The 16,375-nt window shown below is 37.6% G+C and overlaps 1 protein-coding gene and 1 long non-coding RNA gene across 19 annotated transcripts in view; one reads left to right on the top strand and one right to left on the bottom strand.

The window, feature by feature from the left end:
* GLYATL1-AS1 (GLYATL1 antisense RNA 1) overlaps positions 1-16,375 on the top strand; it is a 124,810-nt gene that overhangs the window by 99,769 nt on the left and 8,666 nt on the right. The window lies entirely within an intron of this gene.
* The window catches only part of GLYATL1 (glycine-N-acyltransferase like 1), a 50,926-nt gene continuing 36,828 nt past the window's right edge, over positions 2,278-16,375 (bottom strand). For 5 of the 18 annotated variants that reach the window (NM_001354699.4, NM_001389714.2, NM_001389711.2 and 2 more), the window contains 6 exons: positions 15,018-15,141; positions 11,519-11,638; positions 10,719-10,826; positions 3,788-3,914; positions 3,331-3,508; positions 2,278-3,074 (listed from right to left, as the gene is read on the bottom strand). In NM_001354699.4, coding sequence (NP_001341628.1) covers positions 2,657-3,074; positions 3,331-3,508; positions 3,788-3,914; positions 10,719-10,826; positions 11,519-11,596 — 909 coding nt within the window. In that variant the 5' untranslated portion in view covers positions 11,597-11,638; positions 15,018-15,141 and the 3' untranslated portion in view covers positions 2,278-2,656. Of the gene's footprint in view, positions 3,075-3,330; positions 3,509-3,787; positions 3,915-10,718; positions 10,827-11,518; positions 11,639-15,017; positions 15,142-15,361; positions 15,436-16,099; positions 16,145-16,375 lie in introns of those variants that run through there. The other 13 variants (NM_001389717.2, NM_001220494.4, NM_001389713.2 and 10 more) reach the window with 6 other exon arrangements.

Genomic DNA, 16,375 nt, shown 5'->3' with positions numbered 1-16,375 from the left:
CAGATGAACAGAAGTTCTCAAATACACAGTAAGCAGATAACCCCAACATCACCAGAAATATCAACTTGTGATGGCATTTTGTCAAGTTGTCTTTGTTATCGGCATCATCTGTTGCTTTCTGAGGGAAGTATTTTGAGTTCTCCTACTGAGACTGTGGATTTGCCTATTTCTTTTTGTATGTCAGCTTTTGCCATATGTATTTTGTAGTTGTGTTGTGAGGAAGATTCATGACTTATCTTGTGGGAGAATTCTGTATTTAGCAGATTTTCGTCTTAAGTTCTGTTTTGCTTAGTATTGATGTTATTACTTTGCTTTTTCAGTTTCAAAATCATTTAGTATATCTTTTTCCTTTCTTTTAGCCTTTGTGTTTTTATTTCAGATGTGCTTTCTTATGTACTGACTGTGATCCCCAAATTCATATGTTGAAGTCCCAACTCCAAATGTATTTGGAGGTGGGCCTTTCAGACGTAATTGAGTTTAGATGACGTCATGAGGGTGGAGCCCCCATGATGACACTAAGTCCTTCTAAGAAAAGGAAGAGAGTCTGAGCCCTCCTCTACACCATGTGAGGGCACAGAGAGAGAGCAGCCATCAACAAGCTGAGAGAGGAGGACTGAGAATGAAACCTACCTCGCCAGAACCTTGTCATATCCCTTCCCGGTTTCCAAACGAGTGAGAAATCAATTTCTGTTGTGTAAGCTACTCAGTGTATGAAACTTTGTTATGGCAGCCAGAGCAGATTAATGCATGCTTCTTGGACTTTGTTTTTAACTCAATATGAAAAACATATGTTTTAATAAAAAAATTACCCCATTCATCTGTATTGTGTTTACTGATAATTTTGGACTTATTTTTGCCATATTTAAGAAATCCTCCTTCCTCTTTCCCATGCTTTCTTGTGTTTTTTTAATCCAAGTGGATGATAAGGTTTGGGAATCACTATCGTAACAGGACCATGAAGGGCTAGATAAGGGAAGCTGGCTTGCATTCAGGGAAGGGGCAGAGGAGGGAAGCTGCCAGCTGGGCTGAGCTAAGATGACCTGAGCTTACAGACCCTGGATGAGCATCCTCTTCTGGATACAGGACCTGCCCGAGGCACCATTTTGAAATAGGCAAATTTTATTTGCTTTGTCTTCTTTCATCATCTTTATTAGCTTTTGCATCTTGAGTGAAAAATATAGCTGTTTTCATATTACCCCAAGTTCCCGAGTTTATTTTTTATGTAAGAATGTTCCAACCTTTGAAATCCCAAATGACATGTTTCCTCTCTTTCTCAGACCATGCTTTCATTTCAGTCAATGTAACAAATCAGCCAGGTCTTAGGAGTTTAGAAATCTGATTGGATTGATTCATACTAAGCGGTAACAGATCTACCACAGCCTTCTAAGATGAAGTTTTTTAAAAATGCTCCATGACCTACACAATTCTTTAATTGCTGGAATTGCACACTTTAAAATCGCATCAAATATAAACATTCAATTTTGTGGAAGTTTTGTTTTTTATGGAGAGATGAAAATAGGTGTTTCTTAATACTGGCAGACTTTACTTCCAAAGCCAATTCTATTAAAGTATCTTTTCTGCTTCAAATCTAGACTATCAGAAAGAATGAAAATGCCAATTATTTATTTTTTTTATTTTTTATTTTGCTATAGCTGCAATGTTCACAGTAATCCAAGTTCCAATGGCAGGGTGGCAGAGTGGAACCAAAAGAGGCCAAGTTTTGTTGGTGAAGTATAATTATTTTTTAAGATCAGGGATTCAGAATTGTAGTATCAGTGTTCAGTTAGGAAGTTCTTATGATAGTGCATGGCACATGTCCTTTCCATCATCTGCATTTTCTGCTTTTTTTGTCTGGCTCACTTCTACTCACTCTCTAATCCTCACCTTAGTGGTCACTTCTCCCCGGAATGTCCCTGACCCCTTATGATAGCAGTAGTGCAAACACCAAAGGCTGAACTTACAACCAGACTCGCAGGCAACACCTTGCCTTGTGCCATGCTTCAATCATGAAGAGGATGTGAGAAAGAGTAGGAGAAAGGAGACACAAAAAATGGCATTTCCATAGCAGAGACCCCCAAGGCCAGTCCATTTGATTCTCTGGATTTCTTTTCTGTACAACAGTGATGGAAGGTAGCCTGGGAAAGCCATTCGTCTCAGGCTTCACCTTGGATACCTTTCTACTCACTGAACTGATTCCATTCTTTAGTGTACCATTGCCTCATAAATCCAGAAATAGCAGGGACATTCATTTTTGATAAAGTATCCATACAGATTAGGTTTATTCTATTGAAAATTTTATTAAAATCCTTCATTTATCTTCCAGATAGTAGATTCTATTAACCAAGTTGCATAAAGAGTTCTGATTCCCAGAGGTAAGAACTGAGCCTGGCTTTCTAGTTACATGTTTACTGGTAACCCCGTCTTTCCCTATAACACTTAAGCATATTTAAAGAATATACCCTCCCCTGCCTCCAGCCAGGATTGTAAGCTCCTCAAGAGCATGGCTGTGTCTTTTAACATCAAGGCTCCAGGTGAGAAGAGTTCCTGCTGTATTATAAGTGCCCAATATGCATTTGTAAGTGAAGAAATCTATTCTGTGGTGTCTGCTTTAATATTAAGAGATGGCTTGGCAGAGATTACTAAGCAGCTTCATTGTCTAAAATGGAACTAGATTCTGTGGGTAGCAAGTCCATTGGTGCCACTCACAGGAGGCCTCAAAGAAACCAAACTGCCCCACAAATCTGCGGGAGTCTTCATTTTCTTCCAACACAGAGATGTAAAATGGAATATTCTTCTGACGCAGATATTTCATGTATCGCACCATCACTCGTGCCATGTTGCCTGTCCTTCGGTATTTTTCCATGCTGTAGGCCATTCCTACTTCACAAGAAGGGTCCATGGTTACCCATGAGACCGGGACTCCCTCTGGGCCGAGCATACAGGCTGCTGGCAGGTCTTCTATGCAGCGCTTGATGTAATGCAGGCTCCTCTCATTCTTCCCTCGCTTCCAGTTGTCATTTACCAGCCCAGAATAAGAGACATCCAGCTGGGCATACTTAAAGTTGGGAGTTTCACTGTAGACAACAAAAAGAAAGACAACAACTTTCATCCCCAATCCTGTAATTTCTAGGTGCCATCCCAATCTAGAGATCCCAGGAACTCTTCTTGTTTAAAGACTCACCATTGCAAAGTTTTGGATCTTGAACTTTGACAACCTTTATTCATCCCAAGGAATGAATTCATCCTCTCTTCATTCCAAAACTGATTTATGTGAATTACAAAAATGTACAAGGAATCGCAATTATAAATGATCAGCACATGTTTTTGTACCTTTCAAATTCATCATCTGGGTGGCCTGTCTCAGCCCAGCTTCCAAGCTTGCTTTTACTGGAGGCATTGAGCTTCAGAATATCTTCCGTAACCAAGAGGAGTGCTCTCGAATGCTCTACTTTCACTGACTTTGAAAATGTAGCCACTCTTATCCCCTCACCTAAACTTTCTTGAAGACCTGGGAAGAAAGCCAAGAAAGCAATCTTGTCAGACATGGAGTTCTCTACTTACACTGCTCCCACCTGATTAATACCTCAGTGCTTAGTAGTTCTCAAACTTGAGTTTACACCACAGTCAGATGGAGTCCTTGTCACACCACAGATTGCTCCACCTCTCCCAGTCCCCAGAGTTTCTGTGAATTTACATTTCTAATGAGCCCTCAGGTGATGCTAATGCTGTTAGTTGAAGACACAATTTGAGAAGCACAGCTGCTTGCCCATTTCTTCAGACTCGTTACCTTGGATTTGGAGTCTCTGTTTCCAGTTTACGATCTCACAATTTTTCAAAACTTCTTCTGATTTTTGAGGCTCTTTGGAGAACATACGATATACGTTTGTGTATGAATCCATGTCATCAGTCATCTCCTGTATTGGATGATATAAGATCAGGTCATTCCCTTGAACTTTTTCTTCACCTCTCACTGGTTGCAATTATCAGAAAAATGAAAGTTCAAAAGAAAATTTTAACAGTGGCCCATGATGGCTGCAGTTGGGCACATCGATAATAAAACCTAGGCCTATAAGCTACCGCTGACCTCTTACCTGTGTAACTGGAGTTTGTTAAATATTTAACACTGACAAGTATTGGTTATAAACCTCCTTATCACATGCAGAACTAAGACAGGATGAAATCAGTCACCCTCCACCAGGCCTTAAGATGCCTCACCTTTCTCCCTACCCACTCAACTGCACACATACCCTATTTTATATATAGCATCACCAAGCACCCAGCAGAATAAAAAAATGCAACAATTGCTTCTCTCCCTGCTTCTCTTACCACCTGTGCCAAACGGATACTCCTGTTATATATACTGTGCCCCAGGTAACCTACTGTGGGACACATTCTGGGTTGTACTGAGTTTGTGTTGTTAAGAGTTAAGTCCTTAAACTTGGCTCAAAATAAATTTAACTGTGATTTCTCTAATTTTTAGTGCCTACTGTTTCACCAGACACCTAGAGTCAATAGTGTCCTAGAATCTACGGTGTCCAGGGCTTGAGCAAGATACTTTAGTGAATATAAACACTAACGAGACCTTGCCTTTTCTCAAGCCTACAGGATATCAGCCTATTTGAAAAGTGACACTGGCTTTACACCCAGAAGCCCACAAAATAGAATGATGTAACTGAATTTTTTGGTAGCTCTCTGGGTAATTTATGTGGTGTTAGACTCTTGGGTTTGAAAGAAAGAGACTCGTGATCCCATTCTGGCATGACAGAAACTTCATTGGAAGATGAGGATGTTTCTCTGGGAAAATATAAACAATAAGTGTGAGCGTTTTAGCAGTGAATGTATTAATATTATGTTGGAAATTGTATTGCTAAAGAGTTAAAGAGAAAATAGTGTAATTAATTTAAAGAAACCTTCAAGAATTTCAGGGTGCTTTTATAAATGCAAGTTCCTGAATATGGTCAAACCCAAAACGTCAGTGAATTTAGAAGAGTAGATGTTTTAAAAGACCTGATTTTAAAAGAATGACCAAAAATAGCCAAGTAAATAGTCAAGGAAATATATAAAAGAATATCAAAGTAAACTAGAAAATAACAAATGGAACAATTTGTAAAAATGAAAGCTATAAATAATGAAATGGAGAACAAGACATAGTGCAAAGGATATATAAAGCCAAAAGTTCATTTTTAAATGGCAAAAACAGAGAGAGAAGAAGAAAGAGAGAGATAAACTTCTGGTAAGGCATTTATTAAAAGAAATACAAGAGAAAGAGAAAAAAGCAAAAAAAAAAAAAAAACAGACTGTAAGCTATGAGAACAGAAACAGAAGAAACAGAGAAAAGAACAAAAGACTTCTAATAGAAGACTACATACTACTCCAAGGCAAGATATTTACTGATAAAAGAAATGGATGTTATCCCTCAAGAATAAACTATCAATATTGACTTGCAAAAAAATAGAAATCCTGAACAAACTAATAGAAAATATCAGAAATGAAATTAAACATCTACCTTTTAAAAAGTAGACAAGAGTTATGGCCTCCAGCTTCAGCCATGTTGCTACAAAGGACATGATTTTATTATTTTCTATTGCTGTGTAGTATTCCATAAAAATATATGTATCAAGTTTTTTTTATCCAGTCTACCTTTGATGATCACCTGGGTTGATTCCCTGTCTTTGCTATTGTGAACTGTGTAGCAATGAACATACAAGTGCATGTGTCATGTTGGTAGAATGATTCATTTTCTTTTGGGTATTTACCTAGTAAAGACATTGCTGGATCGGATGGCAACTCTGTTTTAATTTCTGTAAGAAATTTCCAGACTACTTTCCACAGTGCAATAATCCTAAGCAAATTACTGCTGTAACAGAAAATCAAATATCACATGCTCTCACTCATAACTGGGAGCTAAGCATTGACCACACATGGGCATAAATGTAGGAACAATAGACAGTGTGGACTACCAGAGGGTGGAGTAAAAGGGGCTGGGTTAGAAAACTACCTATTGGGTACTATGCTCACTACCAGGATGATGGAATCTGTCCATACTCCAAGAATCAGCATCATGCAATCTTCCCATGTAACAAATCTGCACATGTACCCCCGTATTTAAAAAGAATGTTGAAATTAAAAAATAAAATGTAGCCAAAATCAGATTATTTTACATTTAAATTCTACATAAGCCAAAAACAAACACATGATTTTAATAGTAGACTTTGGTAACAGATGAAAAGATCCTAATGCCAAATCTGGTAAGGAAATAACAAAAAGAGAGTTATGACAACATTCCCTTATGCATGCAGATACAAAAATTATGAATAAAATATTCAGTAGCATATACAAAAAATGTGAATATGAACAGTTGGTTTTAGAAAGGCCAGGATGGCTTTGATTGGAAGGTCTTTTAGTGTAATAAATTAGAGGAGAAAAAAATTACATGAGTGTATAAATTGCCAAATAGAAAAGACAAAAATTAAATAACATAAAATTTACCCTCCATTCTAAATATAAGTTCTATGAAAGTAGGAGCAACAGGAAAATGCTCTAAACCTGCAAATACAGAATCAAATGTAATTCCAAATGTAAGCTTTTATAGCTATTTAAAATCAGGGATGAGACAAGTATAGAACTATTATTAGTTGGAATTGTTTCCTTAGGTTGCATATTATGCAATAATGCAAGAAACTAAAAACCCATACAAATACTGGCAAAGCAGCAGCAAATTACTTTGTTTGTAGATTACAGTATTACACATTTAGAAAATCCAAGAGACTTCGACAAAAAAACAAAACAAATAATGCCCCACACAAACAGGATTTTAAACAACAGTGGGACATATTTGGAAATCAAGACTACAAACACAAAGCAATAACAAAATAATAATGCTCAGAAATATAACAGGAAAATAATTTAATAATCTTAACAAATAGTATAAAATACCTAAGGGTAAACTTAATGGAAAAATCACTTAGTTTATCACAGGAAAACACTAACATTTTACCAGATGGCATAGAATGCAAACTGAAAAAAAGTGAGAAAAAGACCATATTTCTTGATGAAAAAATTTAGTGTCACAAAAATATTAATTCTTCCAAAATTGTCGAAAAATGGTCCTCCAATACCAATCACAACTCGAATAGTTATTTGGGATAGTTGGTGGGGAACTGGAAGAATTAGTTTATGTTCATATAGCTATTAAGTTTATAAGAAATAGGAAAGTAAAAAAAGATTGGTGAAGGGTGATTTGCTTTATTAGATATTAAAATTTACCACAGAAACAATGAAATAGCATGAGAAAAGACTAGAAAAAATACAGAAACAGATACAAAAATATATAACATGTTATACGACAAAATAGACATTTATATTTCAGTAGGGAATGACTTATTTAAGAAATGGTACTAACATAATTAGCCAGCCATAAGGAAGATTAATATAAAAGAATGTTAATTCATGCTATTCAAAAATATATTCCAAATAGAATGAAGTTTGCAATGTCAAAAGTAACAATTAACTCACTGTAAGACAAAATGAGAAAACAGTTGTATGATCTTCGAGTAGCAAAAATCTTCCTAATTATTAACTAAAAAAACCCAAAACCTCAGAAGTCATAGTGAAAAAGATAATATATTTGATTACATGAAAATAAAAAATTTCTTAATGTCAAAATCTCCATCAATAAAATAGAAAATAATTATAAATTGGGCAACAAATTTGTAGCATACACCTTTTTTTAGTATCCCTAGTTTCCAAAACACTTACAAAATTTTAAGAATGACACAAAACCCCAGTGTAAAAGTGGTCAAAGAATATAAACAGGTCAAAAGTAAACACCAAATGACCGAGAAACATGAAAATATAATATGTTCAATATCGCTAGTCAGGGAAATGCAAATTAAATCCACAATAAGATGCCATTTTTCACCCACCAGTTTGGGATAAATTAAAAGAGGGATAATATTCAGTGCTCGTGAGAATGTGGGGAAACAATTCTTCCATACATTGCTAATAAAAATAAAATTGTGGAATCCTTTGGGAAGGTAATTTGGCATTGCCTGCTTAGAATAAGATAAACTGTAACTTGCAGATATTCCTTTTGGAAATCAGTTGTACTGAGAAAAATTTCCAGGATATAAAGATATGTATATGAAGATGTTTATTGAAGCTTGTTTGTAGTGGCAAAGAAGTATGAACAGTTTGAACCCAACAGCAGGAGAATGATTGACTAAATAGCATTGCATTGACTCTATGAAATGCCGCAGTTATTAAAACGAATACTTTAGTGCTGTATTGATTCACCCAAAGTGATGTCCATATGTTAAAGGCAAATTAAGAGTGATGACAAAAGAGATCATCAGTGAATATCCCTCTGTTTATTTTTTTGTTTTTTTTTTTTTAGACGGAGTCTCGCTCCGTCGCCCAAGGCTGGAGTGCAGCGGCGGGATCTCAGCTCACTGCAAGCTCCGCCTCCCGGTTTCACGCCATTCTCCGGCCTCAGCCTCCCAAGTAGTTGGGACTACAGGCGCCCGCCACCACGCCCGGCTAATTTTTTTTTTTTTTTTTTTTTTTTTTTTGTATTTTTAGTAGAGACAGGGTTTCACCGTGGTCTCGATCTCCTGACCTCGTGATCCGCCTGCCTCGGCCTCCCAAAGTGCTGGGATTCCTTCTGTGTATTAATATGGGCAAGGACACTGATTACAACCAAGGGGTAGGAAAGGAGGAGAGGAGGGGAGGGGAGGTAAGAGGTTATTAACTTTTTAAAATCATGTTGGATTTTTTTACTTGTATAATCAACATAGATTATCTTTGTGATTAAAAATCAACAATGAAAAAATTAATTTTTTTCTAGATAAATTCTCCTGCATCCCACCCTGAAAAGCTCTTATTCAAAATCAGATTGACTTTCAATACTGAAAGAAACATGGTATGCTATGGAATCAGACTAGGTGAATGCACTTCCAAGTAAATTGCAGCGTATTTCATTCTTTCCTTTTTGTTTTTTTTTTGGTCTTATATGTGTGGTGTGGGACTTTTATATTTTCATATTTTTGTTTATTGACTCACTGTAAAAACTAACTTTGTTCAAAGCAATGCATACATGAAGGTATGGCTTGATGCTATAGTTACGTTGCTAAAATACATATAATAACTACAAAGTTACTGAAGTAAAAGGAACTATTTGACTTCCTACAGTTATCTAGCATACCACACTTTGAAGAAATTGGACCATTGATTAAATAAACTAAACATTAATCTTTGATCCCAAATTGTCAGGAAGCCAGGAGATCAAAAGAACATCCCTGAGGAAGGTGTTAGGCTCAGCCTGGTTCCCATCCCCTTTACCCCTTTGTTCCTCAAGCTAGGGTCACTTTGTCACTTTCTGCATCCGAATCCTGACCCAGTTTGCAAACTAGTCTTGACCTGGTGTGGCTTATTATTATTTGGGGGCTCAGCGTTTACACCTACATGAAGTTGGGCTGGCAATGAGGCTTCAGTTTACTAACCAGATGTGTATGAAACACACAAACACAAAGGGGAAGTATTTAGGAAAAAAATACACCTAGGTTTGTATTACCATTTCAGCTCCATCATTTATTCCTTGTGTGTCCTCAGCCAATAATGGCTAATTATTGTAAACACTATTTACAGTTATGTGCTATGTACTAAGTGTTTAACATACAGTATCTCATTTAAACCTTGTGTAATCCTCTGAAGAAGATCCTCTTATTTTCCCCATTTTAACGGATGATGAAACTCACAGAAGTGCCTATGGTTATATAGCTAGTAAAAGTGGTAGAGTCCACTGCACTTGAATTCAGACTGGGCAATGCTTTAACATCAGGAATCCAGCCGCTACATGACTTAATATTTCTCAATGTTGTTTCCTTATCTGTAAATTGGAGATATTAATGCTCACTTCATAAGATTGTTCTGATGATAACATTCACTAACGAGAGAAGTGCTTCCACACAGTTGACACACAGTAATTATGAGTCCCTTCCCTGGTTCCTAAGAAGTAACTTTTTTTTTTGAAAAACAAAACAAAAACAACAGGGTCTCACTCTGTTGCCCAGGCTTCAGTACAGTGGTGTGATCTTGGCTCAATGCAACCTCGACCTTCTGGGGCTCAAGCCATCCTCCCACCTCAGCCTCCTGAGTAGCTAGGAGTATAAACATGCACCACCATGCCCTGCTAATTTTGTTTATTTTCTGTAGAGATGAGGTCTCACTATGTTGTACAGGCTGGTCTCAAACTCCTGGACTCAAGTGATCCTCCTGCCTTGGCCTCCCAAAATGCTGGGATTACAGGTAGAAGACACCATGCCTGGCCCTGAGAGGTAATTTTACTGGTAGACTTATGCCTTGGTTTCTGTTTCTAAGCCACTGTTCTAATATCTCAGACACCCAACTTTCCCTGTAAATTGGCCTCCTTTCAGCCCCTGCAGGTGACCCCTGCCACCTCATAGGGCCCTTAATCTGTGAGTGTCAGCCTTGTCCTTTTCCTCCCTTTCCTCCTCCACCCCCTTTCCCAGAAGGGTCCTATGCTTTACACGAAGGGTGGGAACACGTGGCACTCATGCAAGGTGCCCAGTACTGAAGGAGTGTTTTAAAATACTCACGTTTCCTTTCACCCTATAAAAGCAGCCATGGTGTCTGAACTGGTCAGTTCCTCAGGCCCTGTGGACCTGCCTGGCTCCACCAGTCCCTGTCTGTGTGCCTACCTGCTTTTGAGGCCGGATAATAACCATCTGATATTCAGGCCAGGAATCCACCAGCACCTCCATGTTGAAGGGGTTCCCGTGATTGATGTGATACACAGAGCCATACACCTGAAGGAGGGATGAAAGGGACCAGGAGAGGTTGAGATCCCCAGAGATGAGGATCTGGTTGTGAAGAGGAAGAGAAAAATGGAGATTAAGAGAAGGTACTGAGACCAAGTCAGTGATGGTGAGATGAGCAGTATGGTCCTGGAGAGGACCATACTGATGGACGTGAAGTTACCAGCAAGCAGGCAGAACTCACAGGTAGGACTGTCCTTGTGATACCAAAGAGCTACTGTGTACTAGCTGGGCACTTGGCAATGCTCTTAGCATTTATATTGTATAGATTTATTCAGTGTCCATAGCAACTTTAAGCGGTAGGTGCTAACGTTATTCCCATCTCATTGATGGAAAAACCAAACGTAAAGTCAGAGAAAGGGAAAGAAACATCCACAAAGCCATCTGACTAGAAAATGGCAGCCTTGGAATGCATATCCATTCAGACAGGCTCCAAACCATGTTCGTAGCCACCATGCTCCACTGCCTCTCCAAATGAGTGGCAAAACCTGCAGAGTGGACCTAGCTGCCTCTTCCCAAAGAGAAGCAGCAGCTCTTGATATGCAGCCTGTGCCCCCAGTCCCATCCTGTTTCCCAGCTCCAACCCTCTGCAAACAGTCAGGAAGGACTAGAATCACAAGCCTGCTATTTTCTCATCCTCAACACCCCTACTCCCATACCCTGACCTCCCACTGTTCCCTGACCTTCAGGGACTCAGGGATGCTCCTGGCCAAGGATTTGTATAGGGCCAGCAGCTTATGGGAGTTATTCAGTAGGATCATTCTGTGGGATGCTTCAGACCTTGAGACCTTGAAGAAGAAACTCTGAAAAGATAAGAAATGAAGGGAAAATGTTAAGGAAACAAATGAATTTAAAATGCACTTTATACATCTCCATTCAAGTAACACTCGTGATGTAGGTACTGTTAGTATCATATTCATTCTGAATACACCAAATCTCAGAGGGACTAAGTAAATTTCTCAAGTTCTTAGAGATAAATGCCAGAGTCAGATTTTGAAACCATATATGACTGTCTCCAAAACCCATGCCCTTCCTCCCTTGTGGAAAGAATTAAAAGTGAATATTAAGAGTTCTGTGAGCTTCCCAAATGCCTGTAACAGAACACTCCACCACTACCATCATAAGTTTTTTCCTGTATTTTGGTCATTATATGCCTGAGAATTCTTCTTTCATCTGCAATAGAAAATATCAGCCCTCTAAGAACAGGTATGACTAAAAAACTTGGAGCAGGAGTAGGCATAGATTTTCTTTAGTTTCTCAGGGCCAAATATTTCAAACCTACGGCCATTTTGGAACTTATCCCAGTTTCATTACAAAAATTAAAAACAGATAGAAAAATTTTAACACATATCTGTAAACTTTTGTTGAAATATCATTCAGAATTCTTAGAAATGTGCCAATAATTTAACAATAACTTGGAGAAGGTGATCATCACAACTGATAGGTTCAAAGCTTAGGCTGATTTCAAATTTTAGTTCCATCTCATACTTCTTTGTTAAGTTGCTTAACCAATCAGAACCTCAAAGTGTTTTCTCACAACTTTGGAACTGGAAATTAGAATGCATGTTTTCCAAAGGATTGAGATTACACAATGTAATATGTATAAAATGCATAGCATTATGCCTGGAATAAAGTAAGAACAAGTTTTAATATATGTTAGTTTTTTTAATTGACTTCATATTAATCAACATGTCATATAGAGATTTAGCAATTATATTCAATGATGTAAAAATAATTAAAAATGTGAAGAACTTACAACAAAATTAATGTAAGAGAAGGAACCCACGAATCAGATATTTGAAACAATCATTTGCAAATCAGTTAACACAGATTTTTGAAATTTTTTATCCATGAAGTTAAAATAGTTAACAAATATGTGTTAAGTAATAGGCAAGGTGAAACATATTTTATCTTGTCTGGGGTCAAAGGCCTCAAAGTTAAACTATGTTCTGTAGCTAGATGAAGCAATGTTTAAACAAAGGCATCCTTTTGCAAGATCTCATAATTTCAGAATGTTTGAATACCCAAGGAACTTTTAGTAAATAAAACTGGATCTCTGACATGAGCCTATCCCCTGTCTGACTCTGCTGTTCTTGTAGCTGTCAAAAAAAAAATGGTCTTTTTCTTCCCCCCATCTCCAAGTGCTTTCTTTGCTCTGTTTCTCACCTGATTTAACTAAAATTGCCCATACCCATGTGTTTCACTATTGTCTTCTCCTTTGAGCTTTTGGTCAAGATTTTAAAAGTTTTAATTCAAGATCTACCATGCTATATCACTCCCCGCAAAAAAACTTGTGTTCCATTTGCCCTGGGAACATTATATCCTGGGCTGATACATGAGAACAATCCCCACACCTATCAGCTGCCAATCTTTGTCCAAAATACCCCTCCTGTGCATTCCCTACTCCATCCCCTTGCAATGACCTTTGTTGAGGGCCTCTCCTCATACTTAATATTGCTCTTGTGACCCCACCCTGGCCTCAGCTTCTAACATCTACCCAAATAAAAGTGTTCTCTACCTGTATTCCTACCATCAACATTTCTTTTCTAAATCAGGAAGCTGCTAAAAACCTGGGGAGACCCCTCCCCACCTTCTTTAAAAAAATCGTTGTAAAGGACACATAACACAAAACTAACCGTTTAACCATTTTTAAGCGTACAATGCAGCGGTATTGTATACATTCATGGTGCTTATCCATTTCCAGAGCCTTTTTGTCATCCTAAATGGCAACTATACCCATGAAATCACAATTACTCATTCCCTCTCTCCCTAGCCCCTGGCTAGGGGTATATATATATATACCCCTATATATAATATATATATTTTATATATGTATATAAAATAACTTTTACTTTATTTCTCTAGGAATTTGCCTATTCTGGGTACTTCATATATCATGGAATCCGATGATATTGGTCCATTTGGGTCTGGCTTATTTCACTTAGCATAATGTTTTCAAGGTTCACATCTGTTGTATTATGTATCAGAATTTCATTCCTTAACTAAAATAATTTTTCATAATATATGGAAAATAAGTTTAATGTCCACTAAAGAGAAATTATAAATTTGTGAATGACAGTCTGTAAATATGAGTAGCACACAGTCAGTGGTCACTGTGAAGACTACAGAAAAGCAATTATAATGAATAATGGGTAAAAATATCAAAATATATAACTTTTACATATGTACCCAAATTATGTTTGCATGTGGACAAGGACTTGAAGGGAATAAATAAACATGAAAATTGTTTTTGGGTGGTGAAAGTATGTGTGATTTATTTCTTATTTGAGAATTTTAGTTTGTACCATTGAGATGTTTTTATTTTTATGCAAGATTGAAAAAAACATGGAAGGCAATGGAACCATAGTTAAATATGAGAATTATGAAAACAGAATAAATGCTATATATTTTTTTCTTTTTTCCCCACAGTCCCATCAGCTATCAAGTTTCTTTATTTGTAGGGAGAAGGAAAAAGCTCCCCATTCACCACAATTCTGTACATGCCTCATCCTGTCACCCACAGCAGTCAACAAAGAGTGCAAGGCAGATTATTCCAAAAAGAATAGCAGTTGACATCCAATAGTGCCAAAACTGTTTTTAGTCAAAGAGACTTTACTGAGAGCCCTCATTTATAAATGTACTTGGCATTGTTGTTTAAATGCATTGGCATTGTTGTTCATTTGGAATGTTCCACTCTAAGTATCTTTAGTAATGTTTTGCCATTTCTGTAAGACTTGGTATACAGTCCTAATGTATAAGCCAGAAGGAACTCAGTTTTACAGAAATTAAGGATCCCATTTTTATCTAAAATATTGTCTTTATTCTTAGGTTCTCTTGATGAACTTAGCCAGTGATTTTTTTCCTACCTAGGCGCACAAAAAAAAAAAAGAAAAGAAAAGAAACAAAGGGGTAGAACACAAAAATCCCTGTGAATTTTCAAAAGCCAAATTTTATAACTCCTGCAACATTACTGCTTACTACCAGTTCCTTTCTGACCCAGTGAGATGTAAGAGGCCTCTAACTGGATCCAGGCCAGTTAATTCCAAGATCAAATCTGTTCCTAGACCCAGTCTGTTTCCTGTTGTGACTCCAAACCCAGTTTGGATCAGAAATTTGCTCCAAGCAACTCAGAGAGCTCAAAACACCAACGTGTGAAGCTCCAAAATGCGAGAGGGAGCTTACCTATTATCCTCAGCCACTCTGAGAGATCAATGGACACAATTGGATCCTGCAGGTACCTTCCGTGTTCACTTCGCGCTCCTGGGGATACTAGAAGCTCCACTTCAGATCCTTCTTGTGACACCATCTGATAAAAGAAAAACTTCAGCTGAATTAAACTTAAAGGAGTTTCATTAAGCAACAAACAATTTGTGAATCCGGCAGCCTACAAAATCACAGCAGATTCACCGAGGCTCCGGGGGTGCCTCGTGGTCAAAATGAATTTATAGACAAAAAAGGTAAAGTGATGTACAGGAACCAGAAATCAGGTACAGAAACAAAGAGATTGGTTACAACTGGGCGCTTGCCTTATTTGAACACAGTTTGAACATTCAGCAGTCTATGAGTAGTTGAAGTATGGCTGCTGGGATTGGCCAACACTGGAGTATTGTTACAGGTGCACACTACTAAATTAGGTTTTCAATTTTGTCTGATGATTAAGCTACGTTACAGTTTACCCACAAGGACTCAAATGAAGAAGTACAGAGTCCTTCTCAGGCTGTAATTAGTTTGTTTCAACAGTTTGTAGCAAAATTTATTGAAAGGATTGTCTATACATGCTATCTCCAATCCCCCTCCTAACCTCATCTAATTGGGTTTTTGCTGCTACCATTCTACTGAAACACTTTTTAAAACCATCAGGGATCTCTGTGTTATTAAATCCAGTGGTCAATTATTGCTTCTCATCTTAATAGATCATCCTTTAATGGACTTGGTTTCCAAGACAACACACTCTCTTGTTTTTTCTTTAACTTTACTGACTACTTTTTCTCAGTCTCCTCTGTGGACCCTTCTTTCCTCCCCAGTTTCTTAATTTTGGATCACTTCAGAGTTCCCGGTGATCCCATCTGGTCCCATAGCTTTAAAATCAATCTACCTGCCAATGACTAATACATTTAAATTACTACTCAAATTTTTTCCAAACTCAAGGCATATGTATCTAACGGCCTGTTTGACATCTCTTGGATTCCTTCCAATAGCCATCTCAAACTCATTATGTCTCAAATCAATCTTCTTATCCACCCTCTCCACCCAGCCTACTTCACCTGTAGTCTTTCTCAACTTAGTTGATGGCAACTCCATTTCTTCACCTGTTCAAAGAAAAATTCTTGGAGTTATTCTTAAGTATCTTTTCCCCTCCCACTTTACATCCAATCCATTATGACATCCTGCTAATTCTGGCTGGGAGAAAATTCTTCATGGCCTCTCACATTTCTGTATGTCTTATGAGCAGAGACATTGACAGCCTTTTCTCCTGACTATCTTTTCAAGGATGTTTCTAAAGAGGACAGCTTGGAAGCTAGAGATATTGCTTTCTTCTG

The sequence above is a fragment of the Homo sapiens genome, chromosome 11 (assembly GCF_000001405.40).
Source record: "Homo sapiens chromosome 11, GRCh38.p14 Primary Assembly".
NCBI lineage: Eukaryota > Metazoa > Chordata > Mammalia > Primates > Hominidae > Homo > Homo sapiens.
This window is presented reverse-complemented; position numbering and strand designations above follow the sequence as displayed.